Below are 26,126 nucleotides of genomic sequence, written 5' to 3' on the forward strand. Positions count from 1 at the left end.
ACAATGTCTCCAAAGTCCCATCTTGGAGTAGGAATGTGGTCAGACAGCTGGCTCTGAACCAGCAATGAAGGGTGGGCAAGTGGGACCCCAGGCACTCCATCACCATGACGGTCTGGGTGTGTTTGTGTGGCCTCATTCTCTTCACGAGGTGGGCATGGGGTATCTGGCAGGGACTAGGCAGGAATCGAGCCCAGTGTCTGCTAACATGCACTGAACCCCAAGTAGAAGGGGATTAGGTCCTGGGGGCCGTAGATGGTGGTTGCTGGACCTGTGACATGCACTGAACCCTATGTAGAAGGGGATTAGGTCCTGGGGGCCGTAGATGGTGGTTACTGGGCCTGTGTGCGCAGGGCAGTCCCTCCAAAGGCACAGATGGGGTTTCTGAACAGGACCTGGGGAGACAGGCAGGTGCTCACAAATGCTGCTTCCCCCAGCTGGCGGCAACCAGTGAGAAAAACGCCTGAGTGGAGGTCTGACCTGCCCCAGTCTGGAGGGCTGATGCTCTCTGGAAAGGTGGCTAATGAGTACTGTCTGCTGTCTCCCTGTCTCCCACTCCAAAACCTCAGGGCAAAAATAATCCAAGATTGCCAGGATGAGCCTGGTGAGGGTGGCACCTTTGGGTACAGGCCCTTCAGCCTGGGAGGGTCTCCTCCCCAGGCTTCTCGGGGAGCCTGGACTGTAAAGCCTGCTTTGGGGAAGCTGTCAAATTAGAGATGTGTGTGTGAGCTGGGTGCTGGGCAACACGCATGGACAGTGCTCTTCTCCCTGGCTCTTGTAGAACTTGTCCATGGCCCCTGTGAAGGTCTCTTGGTAATTCCCACCCTACCCCCATCACACAGATAACATGAAGCCAGCATAGCCCGGGGGTGGGGAGATGTATGGGTTCTACTCCAGGTCCCCTGGGAATGCCCACCTGCCTCTGACGTGTCAGGGAAAACAGGTGAGGCCCCTTCTTGTTCTCTGAATGTTGTCAATGGTCTATTGCAGCCAAATGGGAACAGGCAGGCAGGAGAGTGTCTCATCTCAAAAGAAGTGGCTCCTGGAAGCAGCTGGGAGGTGGGAGAGGTTCCCCATACTCCCCCATACTCCCCCATACTCCCCCATACTCCCCCACACTCGCCCACACTCGCCCACACTCGCCCACACTCGCCCACACTCCCCCAACCTCCCCCATACTCCCCCACACTCCCCCAGCCTGTTCTAGGAGCAGGAAAAGGGGCCTCTGTGACAGCCCTCCTCAGTGGCTCTCACTCTCTAAGGGGTGTCCTTGCCCAACCCAGGTGCACACCCATCTGAGATGGTCTTGCATGGACCTGGTTAGGAAGGTTCAGCTGCAGCAACCACTGGAACCTGCCCACACCTGGTGTCTCCACTCACGCGTGGGGCTAGATGTTCCTCCCTCCTGTAGTGGCACAGCCAGACAGGCAGAGGGGGCAAGCACCGCTGCAGTTCCCACCTGGGTCTGAGGGGGGGTCAGGCTTGGTGACCATGTGTTTCCCAATTACCTGGTTCCATATGGGGGCTTCATGGACAGGAGTGGTGCTTTTCCAGGCCTTTTTTCCACATGCCAGCTACAGGCCCAGGTTTCCCGAGTTTCTGGAGCCCCTCTTCCAGCCTGGCAAGCAAGGTGTGTTGTAGGGGAAGGACATCAAGCCTACAGGCAGCAGAGTATGTTCTCTACCTCTGGAGGCCCCTGGTTGTTTACCTCTTTGGGTGAGAGTCAGCTTAGGATCTCAACATTCTTGCAGGACTTCAGAACTGTACAGACAGGGGCCCAGGAGGGAACAGGGGCTGGGACTGGCAGCTAACCAGAGTGGTGGGGGTTGTAGGGCTCAGTTTGGTCTTGCAGGGAATTCAGGGAGGCTTGGATTTGCTGAAGCTCTAGAAGAGCTTGGGCTTGGATATGGAAACAGCATAGAGCAGGGGCCCTTCTGCATGCTTGACTCTGAGTAGTTGCACCCTGGTGCATCCATAGGTGTTCCCCACCTGGAGCACAGCTGTGGATAGAAGCAGGGAGAGCTGTGGAGGGAAGAGGAGGAGAAGGGAGTCTCAGGGCAGCCCCAGCATCCAGGCAGGGCCTCTGCAAGTGAGATGCAGATCCAGCCTGTTGGCCACTTAGCAGCTGCTCGGTCGGCTGCAGATCACCTGACCTCTGTTCACCAGTAAATGGGGGTTGCAGTAGCACTTACCTTCTGGGACTCCTGCAGCTTGAAGGGGCAGCACACACCACGTGCTGAGAAAACACCTAACTCAGGTAAGCTTCTCCAAGAGCACCACATCAGATTAACACCCAACCTGTACAGGACACCATCAAATCTCCCCACCCTTCATTCCAACGGAAGAAAAGGGAGTCTCTGTCCTAGGGGAGCAAGCACAGGCCTATCTATGCAGTGGGCACATGGCCCAGGTGGGGAAAAGGCCCTTGGATATGTGCTGGTTTCACCAACCATCTGTGGGTTGGGTTTGGCCTGGACACCTGTACCCCAGGAGGCCGGCAGCCCCCTGCATGGGAGAGGACTGGGAGGTGGGTGGGAGGGCTGAGCTTTGAGGGAAGCCATTATTTGGCCTCATGGGAAGTGGTGCAGGTGGTTGTTGGTGGCTCAGTTTTTCAGGACCTCGGTCATCAGCCAAGGAGTGAAAATTGCCTTTTTATGAGAAATTGCTAAAATTGATGCAAGCTCATAGTTGAAAAGGTGAGTAATGCTGACAGTTGGCTTCACCTGCCCCTTCCCCACAAGTAACTGGTGTTCAGAGGTGGATTTGGTTCCTTCCCAGCCTTTCCCGTTTGCATGTAGCTGTGTGCATGTACTTTTGTGTGTGTACACACACATGTTCCCTGGAGGGGTTACTTTTGTTTTTTTTGGGGGGGGGATAACTAGTGAGGCAGCCTGACACTTGCTGATCTTGTCTTTTAATTGTGGAGTCCTCTATGGAGTGGGCATCGGGTACTTCCTAGCTGGCCTCTGCCAGCTGTTTGGCTGCCCCGGTTTCTGCCCTTCACAGACATGCTGGCCACCTGGTGTGACATTCAGTGGCCTTGTTTGCAGCTAGTGTGATGAGACAAGTGGATCAGGTACATTATAAACTGAAAAAGCACACAACATGCAGAGGGAAAGGATAAATGACCATGTGTGTACTGCTCGGCTGAAGTCCACATCACATGACTGAGATGACATTTTTTCACCTAACATTTGGGCCCTGAGAAAAGGCATTTATGTTTTACTTTTTATTTATAACAGAGTTAGGAGAAATACTACCAGGCTTTCTTTTCCATTTTCCCCAACTCCCACTTTACCCCCTCAAGTTTACCTACCTCAGAGAGAAAGCGGAGCTCGCCTGATTAACGAGAGCCTGAAATTATTTGAGCCAGGTCACTGTGTAAAGGTCAGACTGCTTCCATCTCCTTGTGCATCACTTGCGCAGCTCGGATATTTCATGGCTCCCTGTATACAGGTAGCTGTGTTACCCTCCTAGCCGCTTTCTTGGTTTGATACATGCCTGGGAGCATGTGGGAGCAGTTAAGGTCTAGGCTCATGGGAGGACAGTTCTGCCCACCCCAGCTCATCTCTCCAGCTCAGCCTGCATGCGTGCCTTCCTCCAACTGATTCCAGAGTAGGGGATGGGAGGTCTCACACTGACCTCAAGTTTATGTGACTTTTTCCACCTCTGCTTTCCCAGACAGCCCTTGCTGTGGGACTTGTAAGGAGATTTGTGAAGTCAGTATCTACTTTTCTTGTGTGGGTGTTTATAAATTATTCCCCTGGAGGGGAATAAATGTTAGAGGTACTCCAAACCCCTAACATATAAACATCTAAGCCTGGCCCTTTTTTGGTGGTAAAATATATGCAACATAAAACTTACCATTTTAACCATGTTTAAACATACAGTTGAGTGGCATCCACTATAATGTGTTGTACAACCATCTCCTTTATCCATATCTACAACTTCTTTTTCATCCTAAACTGAAACACCAAACCCATAAATAAGTCTTCGAATAGAAGACTGATGCATTTGACTCTATAAAAATTAAAACTTTATAGGCGAGAAAAATGCCTCAAAGTCAAAAGTCAACAGACTGGGGAAACAGATCTGCAACATACATGACAGACAAAAAGCTAATTTGGGTAATATATGTGTATATATATAGCTATATAGCTATCCTAAATTATTAAAAGACCAACAGCCAAATTGAAAAATGGACAAGGGATGTAAAGAAACAGTTCAAGGAAACAAGTAGATTTTTAAATATTTGCTAATTTTTTTACTGTGGTAAAATATGTATAACAGAAAATTTAAGTACATTAAGTATAAATACATTGTTGTGCAACTATCACCACTATCCATTCCAAACCTGTGTTATCATCCCAAAGTGAAACTCTGTATCCACGGAACAATAGCTCCCCTCTCCCTTCCCCCCATCCCCTGGAAACCACATCCTACTTTCTGTGTCTATGAATTTAGCTGCTCTAGGTACACTATAAAAGTGGAAAGCATGGAGTATGCATTTTTTTTGTTTTAATGTTTTCAAGGTTTATGTTGTAGCATGTATTAGAATTTCTTTTCTTTTTAAGGCTGAATAATATATCATTGTGTGTATTGATCATATTTGCTTATCCATTCATCTGTAGATGGACATTTGGGCTTTTTCTACCCTCTGGCTCTTGTGAATGCTGCTATAAACAGGGATGTGCGAATTCCCACTTTCAGTTTTTTGGGATATATACCCAGATGTGGAATTACTAGATCATATGGTGATTACAGTTTTCCACAGTGGCTGTGCCATCTTACTTTCCCACCAGCAGTGTGCAGGAGTCCTGACTTCTCCACATCAGCATTTGCTGTTCTCTGAGGCTTTGTTGTTTTGCTTTGCTGGTGGTGGTGCTTTTGATGGCAGCTATGCTTACATGTGTTAGTTGGTATTGCATTGTGGTTTGGATTTACATTTTTCTCACGATTAGTGATGCTGAGCACCTTATCCTGTGCTTGCTGGTCATTTGCATATCTTCGTTAGAGAAATGTGTATTCTAAAACCTTTGCTCATGTTTAAATTTGATTGTTTTGTTGTTGTTGTTGCTGAGGTCTTTATATAGCCTGGATATTAATTACTTATCAAATACATAATGTGTGAATATTTACTTTCCCTCTGTGAATTGTATTTTCAATCTATTGATCATATCTTCAGATACATAACAGCTTGTCACTTTGATGAAGTTCTTTTTATGTATTTTTGTTGTTGTTGTTGTCTGTGCTTTCACTGTCATATCCAAGAAATTATTGCCAGATTCTATGTTAAGAAACATTTTTCCTATGTTTCTTCTAAGGGTTTTATAGTTTTAGCTCTTACAATTAGATGTTTAGTCCATTTTAAATTAAGTTTTTTATATGGTGTAAAGTAAGGGTCCAACTGTATTGTTTTCCATGTAAATATTCATTCTTAACACCATTTAAAAATATACTGTCCTTTCCCCATAGTTTTGACTCCCTTGTTAAAAATCATGACTGTGTTTTTTGGTTCTTTATTTCTATTGCATTGGTCTTTATGTCTGTCTCTATGGTGGTACAGCATTGTTTTGGGTACTGAAGCATTGCAGTAAGTTTGAAACCAGGAGGTGTTAGTCCTCTAACTTTGTTAGTTTTTAAGATTGATTTGGCTACTTGGGGTTTTTTGAAATTTCATCTGAATTTCAGAATAGGTTTTTCTATTTTTGCAAATATTGGAATTTTTATAGTGATTTTATTGAATCTGTAGATGACTATTGATAACAATGGCATCTTGATGAGGTTTTGTCTTCCAGTCCATAAACACATGATGTCTTTTCATTTATTTGTGTCATCTTTAATGCTTTCCTGCAATGTTTATAGTTCTGCTGTACAGGTTTTTCATTTCCTTGGTTAAGTTGGCTTCTAAGTATTTTATTCTTTTGATGCTGTCATAAATGATACTGTTGTCTTGATTTCTTCTTCAGATAGTTTGTTATTGTAGAAATACAACCGATTTTTGTGTCTTGATTTTGTATCCTGCAGTTTTGCTGAATGTTATTTATTGCATCTGATAGTTTATCTCACAGAAACTAAAAGATTTTTAATATATAAAGTCATGTCATCTGCAAACAGAAAATTTTACTTTTTTAAAAATTGGAATATCTTTTTTTATTTATTTTTTTTTTTATTTATTTTTTTTTATTATACTCTAAGTTTTAGGGTACATGTGCACATTGTGCAGGTTAGTTACATATGTATACATGTGCCATGCTGGTGCGCTGCACCCACTAATGTGTCATCTAGCATTAGGTATATCTCCCAGTGCTATCCCTCCCCCCTCCCCCGACCCCACCGCAGTCCCCAGAGTGTGATATTCCCCTTCCTGTGTCCATGTGATGTCATTGTTCAATTCCCACCTATGAGTGAGAATATGCGGTGTTTGGTTTTTTGTTCTTGCGATAGTTTACTGAGAATGATGGTTTCCAATTTCATCCATGTCCCTACAAAGGATATGAACTCATCATTTTTTATGGCTGCATAGTATTCCATGGTGTATATGTGCCACATTTTCTTAATCCAGTCTATCATTGTTGGACATTTGGGTTGGTTCCAAGTCTTTGCTATTGTGAATAGTGCCGCAATAAACATACGTGTGCATGTGTCTTTATAGCAGCATGATTTATACTCATTTGGGTATATACCCAGTAATGGGATGGCTGGGTCAAATGGTATTTCTAGTTCTAGATCCCTGAGGAATCGCCACACTGACTTCCACAATGGTTGAACTAGTTTACAGTCCCACCAACAGTGTAAAAGTGTTCCTATTTCTCCGCATCCTCTCCAGCACCTGTTGTTTCCTGACTTTTTAATGATTGCCATTCTAACTGGTGTGAGATGATATCTCATAGTGGTTTTGATTTGCATTTCTCTGATGGCCAGTGATGATGAGCATTTCTTCATGTGTTTTTTGGCTGCATAAATGTCTTCTTTTGAGAAGTGTCTGTTCATGTCCTTCGCCCACTTTTTGATGGGGTTGTTTGTTTTTTTCTTGTAAATTTGTTTGAGTTCATTGTAGATTCTGGATATTAGCCCTTTGTCAGATGAGTAGGTTGCGAAAATTTTCTCCCATGTTGTAGGTTGCCTGTTCACTCTGATGGTAGTTTCTTTTGCTGTGCAGAAGCTCTTTAGTTTAATTAGATCCCATTTGTCAATTTTGTCTTTTGTTGCCATTGCTTCTGGTGTTTTGGACATGAAGTCCTTGCCCACGCCTATGTCCTGAATGGTAATGCCTAGGTTTTCTTCTAGGGTTTTTATGGTTTTAGGTTTAACGTTTAAATCTTTAATCCATCTTGAATTGATTTTTGTATAAGGTGTAAGGAAGGGATCCAGTTTCAGCTTTCTACATATGGCTAGCCAGTTTTCCCAGCACCATTTATTAAATAGGGAATCCTTTCCCCATTGCTTGTTTTTCTCAGGTTTGTCAAATATCAGATAGTTGTAGATATGCGGCATTATTTCTGAGGGCTCTGTTCTGTTCCATTGATCTATATCTCTGTTTTGGTACCAGTAGCATGCTTTTTTGGTTACTGTAGCCTTGTAGTATAGTTTGAAGTCAGGTAGTGTGATGCCTCCAGCTTTGTTCTTTTGTCTTAGGATTGACTTGGCAATGCGGGCTCTTTTTTGGTTCCACATGAACTTTAAAGTAGTTTTTTCCAATTCTGTGAAGAAAGTCATTGGTAGCTTGATGGGGATGGCATTGAATCTGTAAATTACCTTGGGCAGTATGGCCATTTTCACGATATTGATTCTTCCTACCCATAAGCATGGAATGTTCTTCCATTTGTTTGTGTCCTCTTTTATTTCCTTGAGCAGTGGTTTGTAGTTCTCCTTGAAGAGGTCCTTCACATCCCTTGTAAGTTGGATTCCTAGGTATTTTATTCTCTTTGAAGCAATTGTGAATGGGAGTTCACCCATGATTTGGCTCTCTGTTTGTCTGTTGTTGGTGTATAAGAATGCTTGTGATTTTTGTACATTGATTTTGTATCCTGAGACTTTGCTGAAGTTGCTTATCAGCTTAAGGAGATTTTGGGCTGAGACGATGGGGTTTTCTAGATAAACAATCATGTTGTCTGCAAACAGGGACAATTTGACTTCCTCTTTTCCTAATTGAATACCCTTTATTTCCTTCTCCTGCCTGATTGCCCTGGCCAGAACTTCCAACACTATGTTGAATAGGAGCGGTGAGAGAGGGCATCCCTGTCTTGTGCCAGTTTTCAAAGGGAATGCTTCCAGTTTTTGCCCATTCAGTATGATATTGGCTGTGGGTTTGTCATAGATAGCTCTTATTATTTTGAAATACGTCCCATCAATACCTAATTTATTGAGAGTTTTTAGCATGAAGGGTTGTTGAATTTTGTCAAAGGCTTTTTCTGCATCTATTGAGATAATCATGTGGTTTTTGTCTTTGGCTCTGTTTATATGCTGGATTACATTTATTGATTTGCGTATATTGAACCAGCCTTGCATCCCAGGGATGAAGCCCACTTGATCATGGTGGATAAGCTTTTTGATGTGCTGCTGGATTCGGTTTGCCAGTATTTTATTGAGGATTTTTGCATCAATGTTCATCAAGGATATTGGTCTAAAATTCTCTTTTTTGGTTGTGTCTCTGCCCGGCTTTGGTATCAGAATGATGCTGGCCTCATAAAATGAGTTAGGGAGGATTCATTATTTTACTTGCCTTATTGTTTTAACTAACTAGAACCTTCAGTACTATATTAAATAGAAGTAGTAAAAGCAGGCATCCTTGATTTTGCTCTTAGGGTAAAAGCTTTCAGTCTTTCATTATAATGTTAGCTGTGTGTTTTTTTAAATATAACCTTATGTTAAGGTGTTTTATTCCTTTTTATAGCTTATTAAGTATATTTTATCATGAACGTGGGTTAAATTTTGACAAATGCTTTTTCTTTGATTAAGGTATCACGAGGTTTTTTCCTTCTTTATGTTAATGTGATATTATGCTGATTTACATGTGTTGGAACATACTTTTATTTCAGGAGTCAATTATACTCATTCATAGTGTATAATCCTTTTAATGTACTGCTAAATTTGAATTGCTGGTATTTTGTTGAGGATTTTTGCATCGGCATTTGTAAGGGATGTTTGTTTGTAGTTTTCTTATGGTGCCTTTGTCTGACTTGGTGTTGGGGTAATACTGTCCTCGTAGAATAAGTTAGAAAATGTTACCTCCTGTTCAACGTTTTGAAAAAGTTTGAGAAAAACTGGTGTTAATTCTGCTTTAAACATTGGGTAGAATTCAACAGTGAAGCCATCTGGTCCAGGCTTTTCTTTGTTGCTGGGTTTTTGATTACTGATGTCATCTTCTTGCTGAGTCTCCTTGCTGAATAGGTTTATTCAACTTTTCTGATTCAGTCTTAGTAGGTTTTTTGTTTCTAGGAATTTGTTCATTTTATTTAGGTTACTCAATTTTTTAGTGTATAGTTCCTTATGGTACTCTCGTGCATCCTTTTTTTACTCCAAAAATTTGTTAGTAATGTACCCATTTTATTTTTGAGTTTAGTAATTTGAGTATTCCCTTTTTTTCTTAGTCAATCTAGATAAAATTTTGTCAATTTTGATCTTTTTCAGAGAACAAACTTGGTTTTGTTGATTTTTGATATTGTTTTTCTGTTCTCTATTTCACTTATTTCCACTGCTATCTTTATCATTTTTAAAATTTTGCTAGCTTTTAGTTGTCCCTCTTTTAGTTGTCCCTCTTTTAGTTGTCCCCCTTTTTCCCTCTGTTTTTAGTTCCTTAGGAGTAAAGTTGTTGATTCGGTATCTTATTTTTTATTATCATTTATAGCTATAAATTTTTCCCTTATGGTACTGTTTTTGATGTATCTCTTAACTTTTGGTATTTCATATTTTTAATTTGTCTCTAGATATTTTCTGTTTTCTCTTGTGATTTCTTTTATCCATCCTTGAGTGTTTAATACCTATATTTTTAGACATAAAATGTGAAACCTACAAAATTTTCTTGATTTGTTACAGTTTTATTTGTTGTAAGTTTTTATTTAAGAATTAAATGTGTGTATCAACATTTGTTATGTTCTCATAAACTTTGTAATACATGGAGATTCCTGGTCCACATATATAAGCCTCTACATGAATATTATTTTGAAGCATTTAATTTTCTGTTTTAAGATTTCAAAGGTCTAAATGAAATTGAGATTTTGGTTTCTGAGATGAAATCATGGTAGGTGACTGATAAATGCTTAAAAATTAGCCAAAACTTAAGTTAAAGTTTACCTTCAAGATTCAACCTGAATGAGTTGCCCTGTATTGCTGGTAATAAAAAATAAGTCTTTAATGGTATAAAAGCAAACTTCAGAGAATGTCTTTTTTTCCCCCATTGACATCTAAATTAAAAGCTGTAAAAAATTTTGATGGCCTTATGCATTTTTTACTTTAGAATTCCAACTTTTTCTGGTTAAAATTTTTCCAAATAGATTCCTGTGTATTTGAAAGACAAATAATTTTTTAGTTGAAATGCTTAAGCAGTTAAATAAGGCCATGAAACTTTCTTGAACCTGTGGGAATCCATGAGAAAATCTGACATTATGTTCTATTCTCTTGGAAGGTAGAAATATCGTTTGACTTCTGTTTTGCTGACAAGAAATGTGGTCCTGAGCAAGGCTGCCTGGGACAATGACCTCACACATGGAAAACGCTGGAGCCCATCTGTCTCCAATCTGCTGTTTTCCAAAAATTAGGGAAGTTCAGTTTTCCCTTTGATACTCTCTGTTTCTACCAACCCCAACGCCAGGGCTGTCCTGCTTCTACAAGTGACAATGACAAATATAGGCCTGAAGGAAGATGAGCTGATGGCATTCCCAGCTTACTACCACTCCTTGGGGGCCTTATCTCACATACGTGGATTCAATTCATAGACTCAGGTGGGTGAGGATCTATTGTTCAGCTACATTAGAAGTGACTGCTTAAGACTCTGGTGTGTGGTGAAATGAGGCAGAATTTTCTCAATGCAGTGTTGGGAGAAGTTTCTCCTCATAATTACCATCTTACTATCACTAAATCATAGCTAAAATAAGGAAATTATTCAAGAAGAAATAGAAATGTAATCTTATGAAGACATAAATTTAGAGATTTGTGGAAAGCCCTTCATAATTTCATGGTGTTCTCTTTGAGCTGGGATTATAGTTGATATTTCATTATAATATATTAGCTGTTCTAGACTTTATGCATTTATGTAAAGTTTTCTTTGTTGTACTTTAAGTTCTGGGATACATGGGCAGAGCATGCAGGTTTGTTACATAGGTATACACGTGCCATGGTGGTGTGCTGCACCCGTCAACCTGTCATCTACATTAGGTATTTCTCCTAATGCTATTCCTCCCCCAGCCTCCCACCCCCCGACAGGCCCCAGTGTGTGATGTTCCCCTCCCTGTGTCCATGTGTTCTCATTGTTCAACTCCCACTTATGAGTGAGACCATGCAGTGTTTGGTTTTCTTTTCTTCTTTTTCTTTTTCTTTCTTTTTTTTTTTGAGACAAAATTTCACTCTTGTTGCCCAGGTTGGAGTGCAATGGCATGATCTTGGGTTACCGCAACCTCTGCCTCCTGGGTTCAAGCGACTCTCCTGCCTCAGCCTCCCAAGTAGCTAGGATTACAGGCATGTGCCAACATGCCTGGCTAATTGTGTCTATTTTTAGTAGAGATGGGGTTTCTCCATGTTGGTCAGGCTGGTCTCAAACTCCTCACCTCAGGTGATCTGCCCACTTCGGCCTCCCAAAGTTCTGAGACTACAGGCATGAGCCACTGCTCCTGGCCTGGTTTTCTTTTCTTGTGTTAGTTTGCTGAGAATGATGGTTTCCAGCTTCATCCATGTCCCTGGAAAGGACATAAATGTATAGTATTCCATGGTGTATATGTGCCACATTTTCTTTATCCACTTTATCATTGATGGGAATTTGGGTTGGTTCCAAGTCTTTGCTATTGTGAACAGTGCTGAAATAAACATACAGTGCATGTGTCTTTATAGTATAATAATTTATAATGCTTTGGGTATATACCCCGTAATGGGATTGCTGAACCTTGAAGAATTGTCACACTGTCTTCCATAATGACTGAACTAATTTACACTCCTACCAACAGTGAAAAAGCATTCCTATTTCTCCACAGCCTCATCAGCATCTGTTGTTTCCTGACTTTTTAATCGCCATTCTAACTGGTGTGAGATGGTATCTCACTGTGGTTTTGATTTGCATTTATCTAATGACCAGTGATGATGAGCTTTTTTTCATATGTTTGTTGGCCGCATAAATGTCTTCTTTTGAGAAGTGTCTGTTCGTTTCCTTTGCCCACTTTTTGATGGGGTTGTTTTTTTTCTTGTAAATTTGTTTAAGTTCTTTGTAGATTCTGGATATTAGCCCTTTGTCAGACATATTGCAAAAATTTTCTCCCAATCTATAGGTTGTCTGTTCACTCTGATGAGTTTATTTTGCTGTGCAGAAGCTCTTTAGTTTAATTAGATCCCATTTGTCAATTTTGGCTTTTGTTCCCATTGCTTTTGGTGTTTTAGTCATAAAGTCTTTGCCCATGCCTATGTCCTGAATGGTATTGCCTAGGTTTCTTCCAGGGTTTTTATGGTTTTAGGTCTTATGTTTAAGTCTTTATTCCATCTTGAGTTATTTTTTTGTATAAGGTATAAGGAAGATGTCCAGTTTCAGTTTTCTGCATATGGCTAGCCAGTTTTCCCAACATGATTTATTAAATAAGGAATCCTTTCCCCATTGCTTGTGTTTGTCAGGTTTGTCAAAGATCAGATGGTTGTATGTGTATGGTCTTATTTCAGAGTTCTCTATTCTGTTTCATTGGTCTATGTGTCTGTTTTTGTACCAGTACCATGCTGTTTTGGTTACTGTAGCCTTATAGTATAGTTCGAAGTTGGGTAGTGTGATGCCTCCAGCTTTGTTCTTTTTGCTTAGAATTGTCTTGGCTATTTGGGCTCTTTTTTGGTTCGTGAGAATTGTAAAATAGTTTCTTCTAATTCTGTGAAGAATGTCATTGGTAGTTTAATGGGAATAGCATTGAATTCTTTTATAAATTACTTTGGGCACTATGGCCATTTTCATGAATTAATTCTTCCGTATCCATGAGCATGGAATGCTTCTCCATTTGTTTGTGTCCTGTCTGATTTCTCTGGGCAGTGGTTTGTAGTCCTCCTTGAAGAGGTTCTTCACTTCGCTTGTTAGCTGTATTCCTATGTATTTTATTCTCTTTGTAGTAATTGTGAATGAAGTTCATTCATGATTTAGCTCTCTACTTGCCTGTTGTTGGTGTATAGGAATACTAGCGATTTTTGCACATTGATTTTGTATCCTGAGATTCTGTTGATGTGGTTCATCAGCTTAAGAAGCTTTTGGGCTGAGATGATGGGGTTTTCTAGATACAGGATCATGTCATCTGCAAACAAAGATAATTTGACTTCCTCTCTTCCTATTTAAATACCTTTATTTCTTTCTCCTGCCTGCTTGCCCTGGCCAGAAACTCCAGTACTATGTTGAATAGGAGTGGTGAGAGAGGCCATCCTTGTCTTGTGCCAGTTCTCAAGGGGAATGCTTCCAGGTTTTGCTCATTCAGTATGATATTGGCTGTGGGTTTGTCATATATGGCTCTTATTATTTTGAGGTGTGATCCTTCAATAGCTAGTTTATTGAGAGTTTTTGACATGAAGGGATGTTGAATTTTATTGAAGGCCTTTTCTGCATCTGTTGAGATAATCGTGTTGTTTTTGTGTTTAATTCTGTTTATGTGAGGAATTACATTTATAGATTTGCCTGTGTTGAACCAACCTTGTATCCCAGGGATGAAGCCATCTTGATCGTGGTGGGTCAAGGTACCCTTATCAGTCTTAGGTTCAGTCTTTTTACATAATCCCATATTTCTTGAAGGTTTTATTCATTCTTTTTTGGTCTTTTTTCTCTATTCTTCTCTGTTCTTTTTTCTCTATTCTTCTCTTCCTGTCTTAGACAGATGGCTTTGAAGCTCTGAGATTCTTTCCTCCACTTGGCCTATTCTGCTAGTGATACTTGTGGTTGCATTGCGAAGTTCTCGTGTTGTGTTTCTCACCTCCATCAGGTCAGTTATGTTCCTCTCTAAACTGAATATTCTGGTTATCACCTTCTGTAATTTCTTTTATGATTTTAGCTTCCTTGCATTAAGTTAGAATGTGCTCCTTTAGCTCAGTGTGGTTTGTTATTACCCACCTCCTAAAGCCTACTTTTGTCAATTCAGCCATCTCAGCCTGGGGTCAGTTCTGTGCCCTTGCTGGGGAGGTGTTGTTGTCATTTAGAGGAGAAGAGGCATTCTGCCTCTTTGAGTTTTCAGCGTTTTTGTGTTATGTTTTGTCATCTTTGTGGGCTTATCTACCTTTGATTTTTGACGTTGCTGACCTTTGAATGGGGTTTTCGTGGGGTCTTTTTTGTTGATGGTGTTGCTTTCTGTTTGTTTTTAACAGTCAGACCACTCTTCCCTAGGGCTGCTGTGGTTTTCTGGGGGTCCACTCTGGACCCTCATCACCTCAGTCTCTCCTGCCCCTGGAGGTATCACCAGTGAAGGCTGCGAAACAGCAAAGATGGCGGCCTGTTCCTTCCTCTGGGAGCACCAGTCCAAGGAGGTACCGACTTGATGCCAGCTGGAACGCTCCTGTAGGAGGTGTCTGGAGACCCCTGTTGGGAGGTCTTGCCCAGTCAGGAGAAACAGAATCAGGGACTGCTTAAAGAAGCAGTCTGGCTGCCCTTTGGCAGAGCAGGTGTGCTGTGGTGACTGCCAGGAGTCTCCAGAGCCAGCAGGCTGGAAAGGCTCAGTTGGCTGAACTGGGGAGACAGCAGCTACCCCTCTCCCTGGGGACTTCATCCCAGGGAGAAATCAGAGTTCTGTCCATAGAACTCTGGCTGGAGTTGCTAAAATTCCGATGGGCAGGCCCTGTTCGGTGAGGAGGGATGGATTTCGGTCTCACTTAAAGAAGCAGCCCGGCCAGGATCAGGCACAGCAGCTGTGCTGTGTTATGGGGGACTCCTCCTGGTCCCTGGTGCCAGCAGGCTAGAGCGGCCAACTCAAACCACAGATAGAGTGGCTGCCCTCCCCCGGGAACTCAGTCCATCTCCGGCTGTCTCCAGCCTGCTGCCACTGGCCAGCTGGAATTCAGTGGTTTGTAGTCCTCCTTGAAGAGGTTCTTCACTTCGCTTGTTAGCTGTATTCCTATGTATTTTATTCTCTTTGTAGTAATTGTGAATGAAGTTCATTCATGATTTGGCTCTCTACTTGCCTGTTGTTGGTGTATAGGAATACTAGCGATTTTTGCACATTGATTTTGTATCCTGAGATTCTGTTGATGTGGTTCATCAGCTTAAGAAGCTTTTGGGCTGAGATGATGGGGTTTTCTAGATACAGGATCATGTCATCTGCAAACAAAGATAATTTGATTTCCTCTCTTCCTATTTAAATACCTTTATTTCTTTCTCCTGCCTGCTTGCCCTGGCCAGAAACTCCAGTACTATGTTGAATAGGAGTGGTGAGAGAGGCCATCCTTGTCTTGTGCCAGTTCTCAAGGGGAATGCTTCCAGGTTTTGCTCATTCAGTATGATATTGGCTGTGGGTTTGTCATATATGGCTCTTATTATTTTGAGGTGTGATCCTTCAATAGCTAGTTTATTGAGAGTTTTTGACATGAAGGGATGTTGAATTTTATTGAAGGCCTTTTCTGCATCTGTTGAGATAATCGTGTTGTTTTTGTGTTTAATTCTGTTTATGTGAGGAATTACATTTATAGATTTGCCTGTGTTGAACCAACCTTGTATCCCAGGGATGAAGCCATCTTGATCGTGGTGGGTCAAGGTACCCTTATCAGTCTTAGGTTCAGTCTTTTTACATAATCCCATATTTCTTGAAGGTTTTATTCATTCTTTTTTGGTCTTTTTTCTCTATTCTTCTCTGTTCTTTTTTCTCTATTCTTCTCTTCCTGTCTTAGACAGATGGCTTTGAAGCTCTGAGATTCTTTCCTCCACTTGGCCTATTCTGCTAGTGATACTTGTGGTTGCATTGCGAAGTTCTCGTGTTGTGTTTCTCACCTCCATCAGGTCAGTTATGTTCCTCTCTAAACTGAATATTCTGGTTATCACCTTCTGTAATTTCTTTTATGATTTTTAGCTTCCTTGCATTAAGTTAGAATGTGCTCCTTTAGCTCAGTGTGGTTTGTTATTACCCACCTCCTAAAGCCTACTTTTGTCAATTCAGCCATCTCAGCCTGGGGTCAGTTCTGTGCCCTTGCTGGGGAGGTGTTGTTGTCATTTAGAGGAGAAGAGGCATTCTGCCTCTTTGAGTTTTCAGCGTTTTTGTGTTATGTTTTGTCATCTTTGTGGGCTTATCTACCTTTGATTTTTGACGTTGCTGACCTTTGAATGGGGTTTTCGTGGGGTCTTTTTTGTTGATGGTGTTGCTTTCTGTTTGTTTTTAACAGTCAGACCACTCTTCCCTAGGGCTGCTGTGGTTTTCTGGGGGTCCACTCTGGACCCTCATCACCTCAGTCTCTCCTGCCCCTGGAGGTATCACCAGTGAAGGCTGCGAAACAGCAAAGATGGCGGCCTGTTCCTTCCTCTGGGAGCACCAGTCCAAGGAGGTACCGACTTGATGCCAGCTGGAACGCTCCTGTAGGAGGTGTCTGGAGACCCCTGTTGGGAGGTCTTGCCCAGTCAGGAGAAACAGAATCAGGGACTGCTTAAAGAAGCAGTCTGGCTGCCCTTTGGCAGAGCAGGTGTGCTGTGGTGACTGCCAGGAGTCTCCAGAGCCAGCAGGCTGGAAAGGCTCAGTTGGCTGAACTGGGGAGACAGCAGCTACCCCTCTCCCTGGGGACTTCATCCCAGGGAGAAATCAGAGTTCTGTCCATAGAACTCTGGCTGGAGTTGCTAAAATTCCGATGGGCAGGCCCTGTTCGGTGAGGAGGGATGGATTTCGGTCTCACTTAAAGAAGCAGCCCGGCCACGATCAGGCACAGCAGCTGTGCTGTGTTATGGGGGACTCCTCCTGGTCCCTGGTGCCAGCAGGCTAGAGCGGCCAACTCAAACCACAGATAGAGTGGCTGCCCTCCCCCAGGAACTCGGTCCATCTCCGGCTGTCTCCAGCCTGCTGCCACTGGCCAGCTGGAATTCCGTGGTTTGTAGTCCTCCTTGAAGAGGTTCTTCACTTCGCTTGTTAGCTGTATTCCTATGTATTTTATTCTCTTTGTAGTAATTGTGAATGAAGTTCATTCATGATTTGGCTCTCTACTTGCCTGTTGTTGGTGTATAGGAATACTAGCGATTTTTGCACATTGATTTTGTATCCTGAGATTCTGTTGATGTGGTTCATCAGCTTAAGAAGCTTTTGGGCTGAGATGATGGGGTTTTCTAGATACAGGATCATGTCATCTGCAAACAAAGATAATTTGATTTCCTCTCTTCCTATTTAAATACCTTTATTTCTTTCTCCTGCCTGCTTGCCCTGGCCAGAAACTCCAGTACTATGTTGAATAGGAGTGGTGAGAGAGGCCATCCTTGTCTTGTGCCAGTTCTCAAGGGGAATGCTTCCAGGTTTTGCTCATTCAGTATGATATTGGCTGTGGGTTTGTCATATATGGCTCTTATTATTTTGAGGTGTGATCCTTCAATAGCTAGTTTATTGAGAGTTTTTGACATGAAGGGATGTTGAATTTTATTGAAGGCCTTTTCTGCATCTGTTGAGATAATCGTGTTGTTTTTGTGTTTAATTCTGTTTATGTGAGGAATTACATTTATAGATTTGCCTGTGTTGAACCAACCTTGTATCCCAGGGATGAAGCCATCTTGATCGTGGTGGGTCAAGGTACCCTTATCAGTCTTAGGTTCAGTCTTTTTACATAATCCCATATTTCTTGAAGGTTTTATTCATTCTTTTTTGGTCTTTTTTCTCTATTCTTCTCTGTTCTTTTTTCTCTATTCTTCTCTTCCTGTCTTAGACAGATGGCTTTGAAGCTCTGAGATTCTTTCCTCCACTTGGCCTATTCTGCTAGTGATACTTGTGGTTGCATTGCGAAGTTCTCGTGTTGTGTTTCTCACCTCCATCAGGTCAGTTATGTTCCTCTCTAAACTGAATATTCTGGTTATCACCTTCTGTAATTTCTTTTATGATTTTTAGCTTCCTTGCATTAAGTTAGAATGTGCTCCTTTAGCTCAGTGTGGTTTGTTATTACCCACCTCCTAAAGCCTACTTTTGTCAATTCAGCCATCTCAGCCTGGGGTCAGTTCTGTGCCCTTGCTGGGGAGGTGTTGTTGTCATTTAGAGGAGAAGAGGCATTCTGCCTCTTTGAGTTTTCAGCGTTTTTGTGTTATGTTTTGTCATCTTTGTGGGCTTATCTACCTTTGATTTTTGACGTTGCTGACCTTTGAATGGGGTTTTCGTGGGGTCTTTTTTGTTGATGGTGTTGCTTTCTGTTTGTTTTTAACAGTCAGACCACTCTTCCCTAGGGCTGCTGTGGTTTTCTGGGGGTCCACTCTGGACCCTCATCACCTCAGTCTCTCCTGCCCCTGGAGGTATCACCAGTGAAGGCTGCGAAACAGCAAAGATGGCGGCCTGTTCCTTCCTCTGGGAGCACCAGTCCAAGGAGGTACCGACTTGATGCCAGCTGGAACGCTCCTGTAGGAGGTGTCTGGAGACCCCTGTTGGGAGGTCTTGCCCAGTCAGGAGAAACAGAATCAGGGACTGCTTAAAGAAGCAGTCTGGCTGCCCTTTGGCAGAGCAGGTGTGCTGTGGTGACTGCCAGGAGTCTCCAGAGCCAGCAGGCTGGAAAGGCTCAGTTGGCTGAACTGGGGAGACAGCAGCTACCCCTCTCCCTGGGGACTTCATCCCAGGGAGAAATCAGAGTTCTGTCCATAGAACTCTGGCTGGAGTTGCTAAAATTCCGATGGGCAGGCCCTGTTCGGTGAGGAGGGATGGATTTCGGTCTCACTTAAAGAAGCAGCCCGGCCACGATCAGGCACAGCAGCTGTGCTGTGTTATGGGGGACTCCTCCTGGTCCCTGGTGCCAGCAGGCTAGAGCGGCCAACTCAAACCACAGATAGAGTGGCTGCCCTCCCCCAGGAACTCGGTCCATCTCCGGCTGTCTCCAGCCTGCTGCCACTGGCCAGCTGGAATTCCAAGCCAATGGGACTTGTGAGGTGCTGTGGGAGTGGGGCCTCAGAATGATGTCACTTGGCTCCCTGGATTCAGCCCCCTTCCTAGGGGAATGCACGGATGTATCTCCCGCTTTGCTGGAATTTTCGGGGCAGAGGATGCAAAACTCCTGGGCTTTCACGCATGCCCCAGTGAGCCAGCGAGCATTCCGCCCAGACTCCACACAGCTCTGTGCTTCAGACCCAAGGCCATGGCTGAGCTCACCAGGGGGCCTCCTGATCTGCAGGTTGCAAAGATCCGTGGGAGAAGCATGGTTTCCCAGGCAGAGTCGCACAATCACTCACCGCCTCCCTTGGCTGTGAGTGGGGTCGCCCCTAGCTCCGTGCCACACCTGGGTGGGCCATCGCCCCACTTGCTTTTCCTTACTCCCTGTGGGTCGAGCTGTCTGGCTAGTCAGTCCCAATGCAAGAACCTGGATACCTCAACTGAAGGTGCAGAATTCACTTGCAGTTTTCACTGCTCTCCGTGAGAGCCGCAGGCCACAGCTGTTTCTAATAGGCCAGCTTGGCCCCATCTAAAGTATGATTTCTTAATACATGAGATGTTTTAAATATGTAACAATATTTATCACAAATAATATTTTGTCTCAATGTGATATAAAAATTGCTAATAAATCAATTCTTTTTTGGTTACCACAAAGCTATCTGGAAATGTAACATCTGCCATTTAGAAAATTTTTGTAGAGTTAATAGAACTTTACCTGAAGGGAGGCTGGCAATATGCATCATGATTTCAAATATTGTATTAATTGTTTTGTAATTTTGTGTTTTTTAAAACTAAACTTATTAAATTGGTTGTATATTACTTTAGGTAGCACTATTTGGTGATGAGAGAATAATAATTTGCAAAATATAAGAGTTCCTTTTTATAAAAATGTCCTCTGTTTTATATTACTACCACTTCCTCTGAAAGTTTAAAATTGTAATTTTGTAATTAAAATATATATTCACAAATGTGATTGTCAATGTGAATATTTATAATTTTAGGGTTTTTTTTTGCATTTGGTAGGGACAGGGTTTTCTGGTGTCTATTCTTCTTCAAAATAAAAGGTAGAGAGAATGGAATCAGGAAAGGTTAAAACACAAAGGAACACAATGATGATGATAGAGATTATTCATTTGCGGCTGGCCAGGGCCTAAAAATATCAAGAAGAAACATGATCAATAGAAAACCTGAATGTCCTTGAACTTTATAGAATTTTTAATTTCTCTTAAAATTATTCATGATAAAAATCTCTGTACTTTGCACATTTAAGAGAGATAAAATCAGAGGGCAGGGTCCTCCCTGATCCTGATAAGAGTGCCCAAAGCACAAAGGATGTGTCTTTATCTCCTCCCAACTCCACGGTGGAAACAGTTGCTCTGGTTATCTTATCGCAGTGATGCACAGAGACATGATGGTCAAAGAGCTTGCACACTTTAAAAAAGAAATGTTGGCTGGGCACGGTGGCTCACATCTGTAATCCCAGCACTTTGGGAGGCCGAGCCAGTGGATCACGAGGTCGGGAGTTTAAGACCAGCCTAGTCAAAATGGTGAAACCCCGTCTCTACTAAAAATACAAAAATTAGCCACGCACGGTGGCAGGAACCTGTAATCCCAGTTACTCGGGAGGCTGAGGCAGAGGAATCGCTTGAACCAGGGTGGTGGAGGTTGCAGTGAGCCAAGATCTAGCCACTGCATTCCAGCCTGGGCGACAGAGTGAGACTGTCTCAAAAAAAAAAGTTATATTATGTTGAGATTAAAAAAATAAATGACATGATTTGTCTACAGATCTTTATTACTCTACCTCATTTACATTAAATTTATGAACAACTTAATAACACACAGGGCTTTTATTATTATTATTGTGATAATTTCTTTGTCAACATCATTTTTACCATATTGTATAAACAGCATTGTAAGACCTGTGACTGGTCATTGACAATATATACAATATGTGTATATTTGTACGCAGGATCTAGCTCTGTCATTCTTGCTGGAGTGCAGTGGCACAATCACAGATGACTCCAGATTCAAACACCTAAGCTCAAGCCAGTCTCCCACCTCATCCTCCCTAGTGGCTGGGACTACAGGCATATGCCGCCACAGCCAGCTGGTTTAAAAAGAAATTGTAGAGACAGGGTCTTGCTATGTTGCCCAGGCTAGTCTTGAGCTCCTGGCCTCAAGCAATCCTCCAACACTGGCCTCCCAAAGTGCTGGGATTACAGGTTTGAGCCACCATGCCCTGCCTGCTCATATATTCTTCAATAATGAGATAAGAAAAACCTATCTCCAGGCAGGATTTTTAGAGGTTTCCAAAACTGGAACATATGACTTGTGATCAAGCCCTTCCACTGTTTTCTGTCTTTTATTTCTGCAATAACAGTTCTACTACTGTTTTCCTCAACCAGCTAAGAATTAACCGTCTTGAGATCATAAATGCCTATGTTTGTAAACATTGTGATTCTGCCTGCACCCCACGTTAAGTTAAATTGTCAGAGAAATCGAGATGCATTTTAGTTATTTGGTTATTATCTTATAATTATTCTTTTGGCATTTCTGCATTTCACAAGGTTCTTTTCATGGAAATATCTAGTTAGAAAGAATAATACTTTTCTAAAATTGTGAGCTCAGTTTCTCAGGTTGCCAACTATTGCCACTGCACTAACCAACCTTCCTTCATCTGTCACATGAAACTCTCATAATCACTTTATGTTGTTGATAACCAGTCACAGGTCTTACAGTGCCGTTTATAGAATATGATCAAAGTAGTGTTGACTAAGAAATTATCAATATAATAATAAAACAGCCCAGTATTTTATTATATAAGTTGTATATATATTTAAGCCAGACAGAGTACAAAGATCTGTAGACAAATCGTGCCATTTAAAAAAAATCTCAACAAATTTGACATTATTATGAAGATGAAGAAACAGATTTATCAAGCTCTATTTTCTTTAAATTATTTTTTTATTATACTCTCTTTTATTATATTATTTATACTCTTTTATTAGACTCATGTCCTCAGGTGCAGGTGCCGGGCCCTCCTCCAACAGTGATCTCCGGCTCCCTCCCCGCTCAGGGGCCACTCTGCTCTGATACGGGCTCTTATGCCGGCCTGCAGCTCCCCTGCTCTTGGTTTCTGCCTGGTGTCACCTTCTTCCACGACACCCAGTCCCAGGATGACTGACGCCCAGGGAGATCTGTCGCCTCTCCGCAGAGACCACGTGTGTTCACCCTCGGCAGCAACATGCTGCTCCTTCCTCAAGGCGTCCTGAGGCATTGTGCATTTTCACCATTTCTGGGATGTAAAGAAGGAGGAATATTTGTCAGATAGAGAGAATACCGGTTCAGATGGTTGGTGGCTCAGATAGAGGTGGGGTTTGTTCCAGCCAGCAGCCTGTCCTGAGAACCAGGCTGGAAGAAACACCCTTCCCTGTGGTACCACAACACCTACACCGAGGTGTCTGTGCTGCCTGGAAAGCACAGCGGGTCTCCCCAGTGCTGGGGTCATCCGGAGAGCCAAGCACCTTCCAGGGGGGCCTCGAAGTGGGGGCGTAGGCCCCCCAGGGTGCCCAGGCCAGACCGCCTCCTCTCAGGTGGTTCAGCAAGAGCTTCCTTCTGCCTCAGATCCTTCCAGGGTGTGGACTTTCTTTTCTTATGATTCTTTTCTGACTTCACCTTACGTTACTCCTCTCCATACCTAGATGGTAAGCCCGGTGAGGGCAGGGACCCAGCCTCCCTCATTTGCAAAGCAACCACAGTCCCTGCCTTTGAGCTGGGCTGTGGGTGCCAAGCTGGAGAGCATTTCACCCTCTCCCACTGCTGCTGAACAGAAACCACAAATTTAGTGGTTTAAAATAGCACAGATTCTTTCTCTTGCAGAGCTGGAGGTCAGAAGTCCGAAATGAGTTTCACTGAGCCAAAGCCAGGGAGTCAGCAGGGCTGGTCCCTCTGGAGGCTGCAGAATACCTGCTCTGCACCTCCTCCGACCTCTGCAGCTACTCGGCACCCAGGACAGCTGTGCGGCCTCTGCTGTGTCTGAGCTGCTGTTGTTCCATGGCCCTCTCTGTGAGCTTGCTGCCTCCCTCTCATAAGGGCCCTCTCATAAGTCATCTGGATGACCCAGAACAACCTCCCAATCTCTAGACACTTATCCCGACTCCATCCATAGAGTGCCTGTTGCATGTAAGGTAACGTGCCCACGGGTTCGTGGGATTAGGATGTGCACACCTTTGGGGGCCTGATGTAGCTGACCATGCCCACATCTGGTGGGAACCCACCTTCAGGGTTTCTTCTCCTTGGACACAGGCTACAGCCCAAGCCAAATGTCCCAGAGCCTGGAGCAGGGCCCCCCTCACCCACTTTCCCCAAAGAGGCTGGCACGGGAACAAAGCCCCTGTGTGGTCAGGAGCTGGGAGGGCAAGACAACAGAACAACAGGACAAGAGGACAACAGAACAACAGGGCAACAGGACAACAGGGCAACAGCCATCCCAGCTGGAGAAGATTCTCAGGGCTGAGGTGGAGGAGGTCGGGCCTCAGCCGGGCTCAGAGTGGAACTGCTGGTCCTCCTGTCACAGGAGGGAGGGGCGGTGGGACGAGAAGAGAGGGCCTTGAGATCAAGCCGTGCCCTGCTGAAGCCTGGCAGAGGGGCTGTGCCTCTGGGCAGCTAGTGTGAGCTGTCGTCTTGTGCAGCTGGTCTAGGATGGGGCAGAGGCTCTGCCTTGACCTCTCCCACCCCTGGTGCCGCCTCTGGGCAGCTGGTGTGAGCTGTCGTCTCGTGCAGCTGGTCTAGGATGGGGCAGAGGCTCTGCCTTGACCTCTCCCACCCCTGGTGCCGTTTGCCCCTCCACTCCAGGTGAGCACAGCTGGAGCAGCAGCTACCTCGAGGACTGGTGGCCTTTGAGGTTTTCCCGATGGACTATTCAGCTTCTACCAGCGGGGCCCCGTGACTGCACTGCCTCCTGGGAGCTGCTACTGGGAGAGGCAGCGGTACAATCTCCCCTGCCTAGAGTCGACAAGGGGCTTCCCCCACTGAGCTGAGACAAGGCCTTCTGTCTGCATCATGAAGCTGCGATCGCAGCTTCCTACAGCTATGAAACTCCCAGCTCAACCCACCCAGACTCAGTTCTGTTCCCTGAGACCTTCGGTCACAATGGCACACCTCGCCTGGTGTGGAACCTCCTGCTGTTTACAGTGATGAGCCCAGGGTGAGCAGAGACAAAGCGCCAAGACACGCTCGTCAGAGAAGGGCTGGGCAGGACAGACACAGGCAGACAGGGTGGCCAGAGAGGCCGTGAGAAACGGACAAAACAGAGGGTGTGCATTTATCATCCCTTCCTCAGCGCCTGACGCCAGGCAGGCCCTGTGCCTCCCCAGTCCAACTCTTCCAGGCATGGCAGATGCTTGATAATTCCTGCGACTGACCCAAAGGCTTCACAGGTCAGATTCCAGCCAGGCCGAGCCTGTGAAAAGACTTTCTTCAGAAAGTCCAGACCATGGCGATCATGGCCATTACGGCTGGAAATGTTGGAAGACCTGCAGGGCACTGGGCTTGTACCTTGGCCTCTTGGACATGCCCCCTCCTCCCTCGTCTCTCCCCAGGGAGAGTCAGTGATGGTTCACCTGGTGCCAGGCTGTTCCCCATCCAGCAGGAGCCATTAGGGAGGAGCAGGTGGGCTGGGCCCCACAGACTGAGAGAGTCAGGTCCCCAGCCCTGGAGAAGGGCACTTTAATGAGTGTATTTGGCCAATGGCCAGTCACTGAGGCCGTGGTCCTCCCCTGTCTCCAAGAAGCCCCAACATGGAAGGCTCAGGATAGAATATCCCCACGACTCTGCTCACCACCCTTCCCATGAGGCTCTGTCATGGGAGGCTGGATGCAGTGTGTCTTTAAAATGGTCTGCCCATCTCAGTCTCAAACTTTGGAAAGGGTTAACATAGCATTCCATGACCAGGATGCTGGGACTTTGAAGTTTCCTCTGCTAAACTGGACAGAGGCTCAAAAGAGCTCTTCCTCAAGCTGATTTAACCAGTCACTGGGTGGCACAGGCCATCAGCACTGAAGGCCGCAGCAGAGAGATAAAGGGATGCAGCATCACTTATGCAAAAGCAGAATAAGGTATTACCCCTTGCAGATGGCTTCTGGCATTTACCTTGTTGGATCTCATGTTAGCAACGACCGCCAACACTTCTGAACGGCAACACTTAACGAGAGTCTTTCCATTCTCCATGAAAAGAGTTGTCACAGAAAAATTTAAAGGGAAAGTGGCTTTAAACTGCCCATATCAAGTAGGAGTCTCCGGGGCTTGGCTGAGCCAGCGTTCCTCCTTTTAACTCTTCCATGTCGTTGGAGAGCCAGAGTTTGAAAGCCCTGGGACAGAAGAGGAGGAAGAAAAGGAAGACGAGGAGGACAAGGGGGAGGGAGAGGACAAGGAGGAGGCAGAGGAGGAGAATTAGGAAGAGGAGGAGGGGGATGAGGAGGCGGAGAGGGAGGAGGACAAGGAGGAGGTGAAGGAGGAGGAGTCGGGGAGAAGGAGGAGGAGTCGGGGAGAAGGAGGAGGAATCGGGGAGAAGGAGGAGAATGAGGAGGACAAGGAAGAGAATGAGGAGGGGGAGAAGGAGGAGGAGAAGGAGGACTAGGAGGAAGAGGAGAATGACAAGGAGGGGGATAAGGAGGACAAGGAGGACAATGGATGAGGAGGAGGAGGGAGAGGAGGAGGAGGGGTGGGAGAAGGAGAAGGGGGACAAGGGGGAGAAGGAGTGGGGGAGATGGAGGGGCCAGAGGAGGAGGCAGCCGTGGTGGCTTGGGCGAGGCGTTGGATCCAGGGCGTGCTTGGCTGTTGCCTCCCTCTAGACCTCAGTCTCCCGTCCTGTGAAATGGGCAGGCACTGAGGACC

General features: G+C 44.3%; 1 long non-coding RNA gene across 1 annotated transcript, besides 1 other annotated feature; it reads right to left on the bottom strand.

The window, feature by feature from the left end:
* Positions 1-22,177: 22,177 nt before the first annotated feature.
* Positions 22,178-25,698, bottom strand: LOC101928932 (uncharacterized). The gene is made up of 2 exons (NR_135133.1): positions 25,383-25,698; positions 22,178-22,527 (listed from the first exon to the last, which is right to left on the bottom strand). It is a non-coding gene; the product is annotated as an uncharacterized LOC101928932 (long non-coding RNA).
* Positions 23,514-24,118: an enhancer, noted in NCBI's record as "H3K4me1 hESC enhancer chr9:141091719-141092323 (GRCh37/hg19 assembly coordinates)". NCBI's record gives its function as "activates a minimal SCP1, AML or CMV promoter by ChIP-STARR-seq in naive H9 embryonic stem cells {active_cell/tissue: H9 hESC(naive)}" and the evidence as "EXISTENCE:reporter gene assay evidence [ECO:0000049][PMID:30033119]".
* Positions 25,699-26,126: the final 428 nt, after the last annotated feature.

The sequence above is a fragment of the Homo sapiens genome, chromosome 9 (genome assembly GCF_000001405.40).
Source record: "Homo sapiens chromosome 9, GRCh38.p14 Primary Assembly".
Classification (NCBI taxonomy): domain Eukaryota; kingdom Metazoa; phylum Chordata; class Mammalia; order Primates; family Hominidae; genus Homo; species Homo sapiens.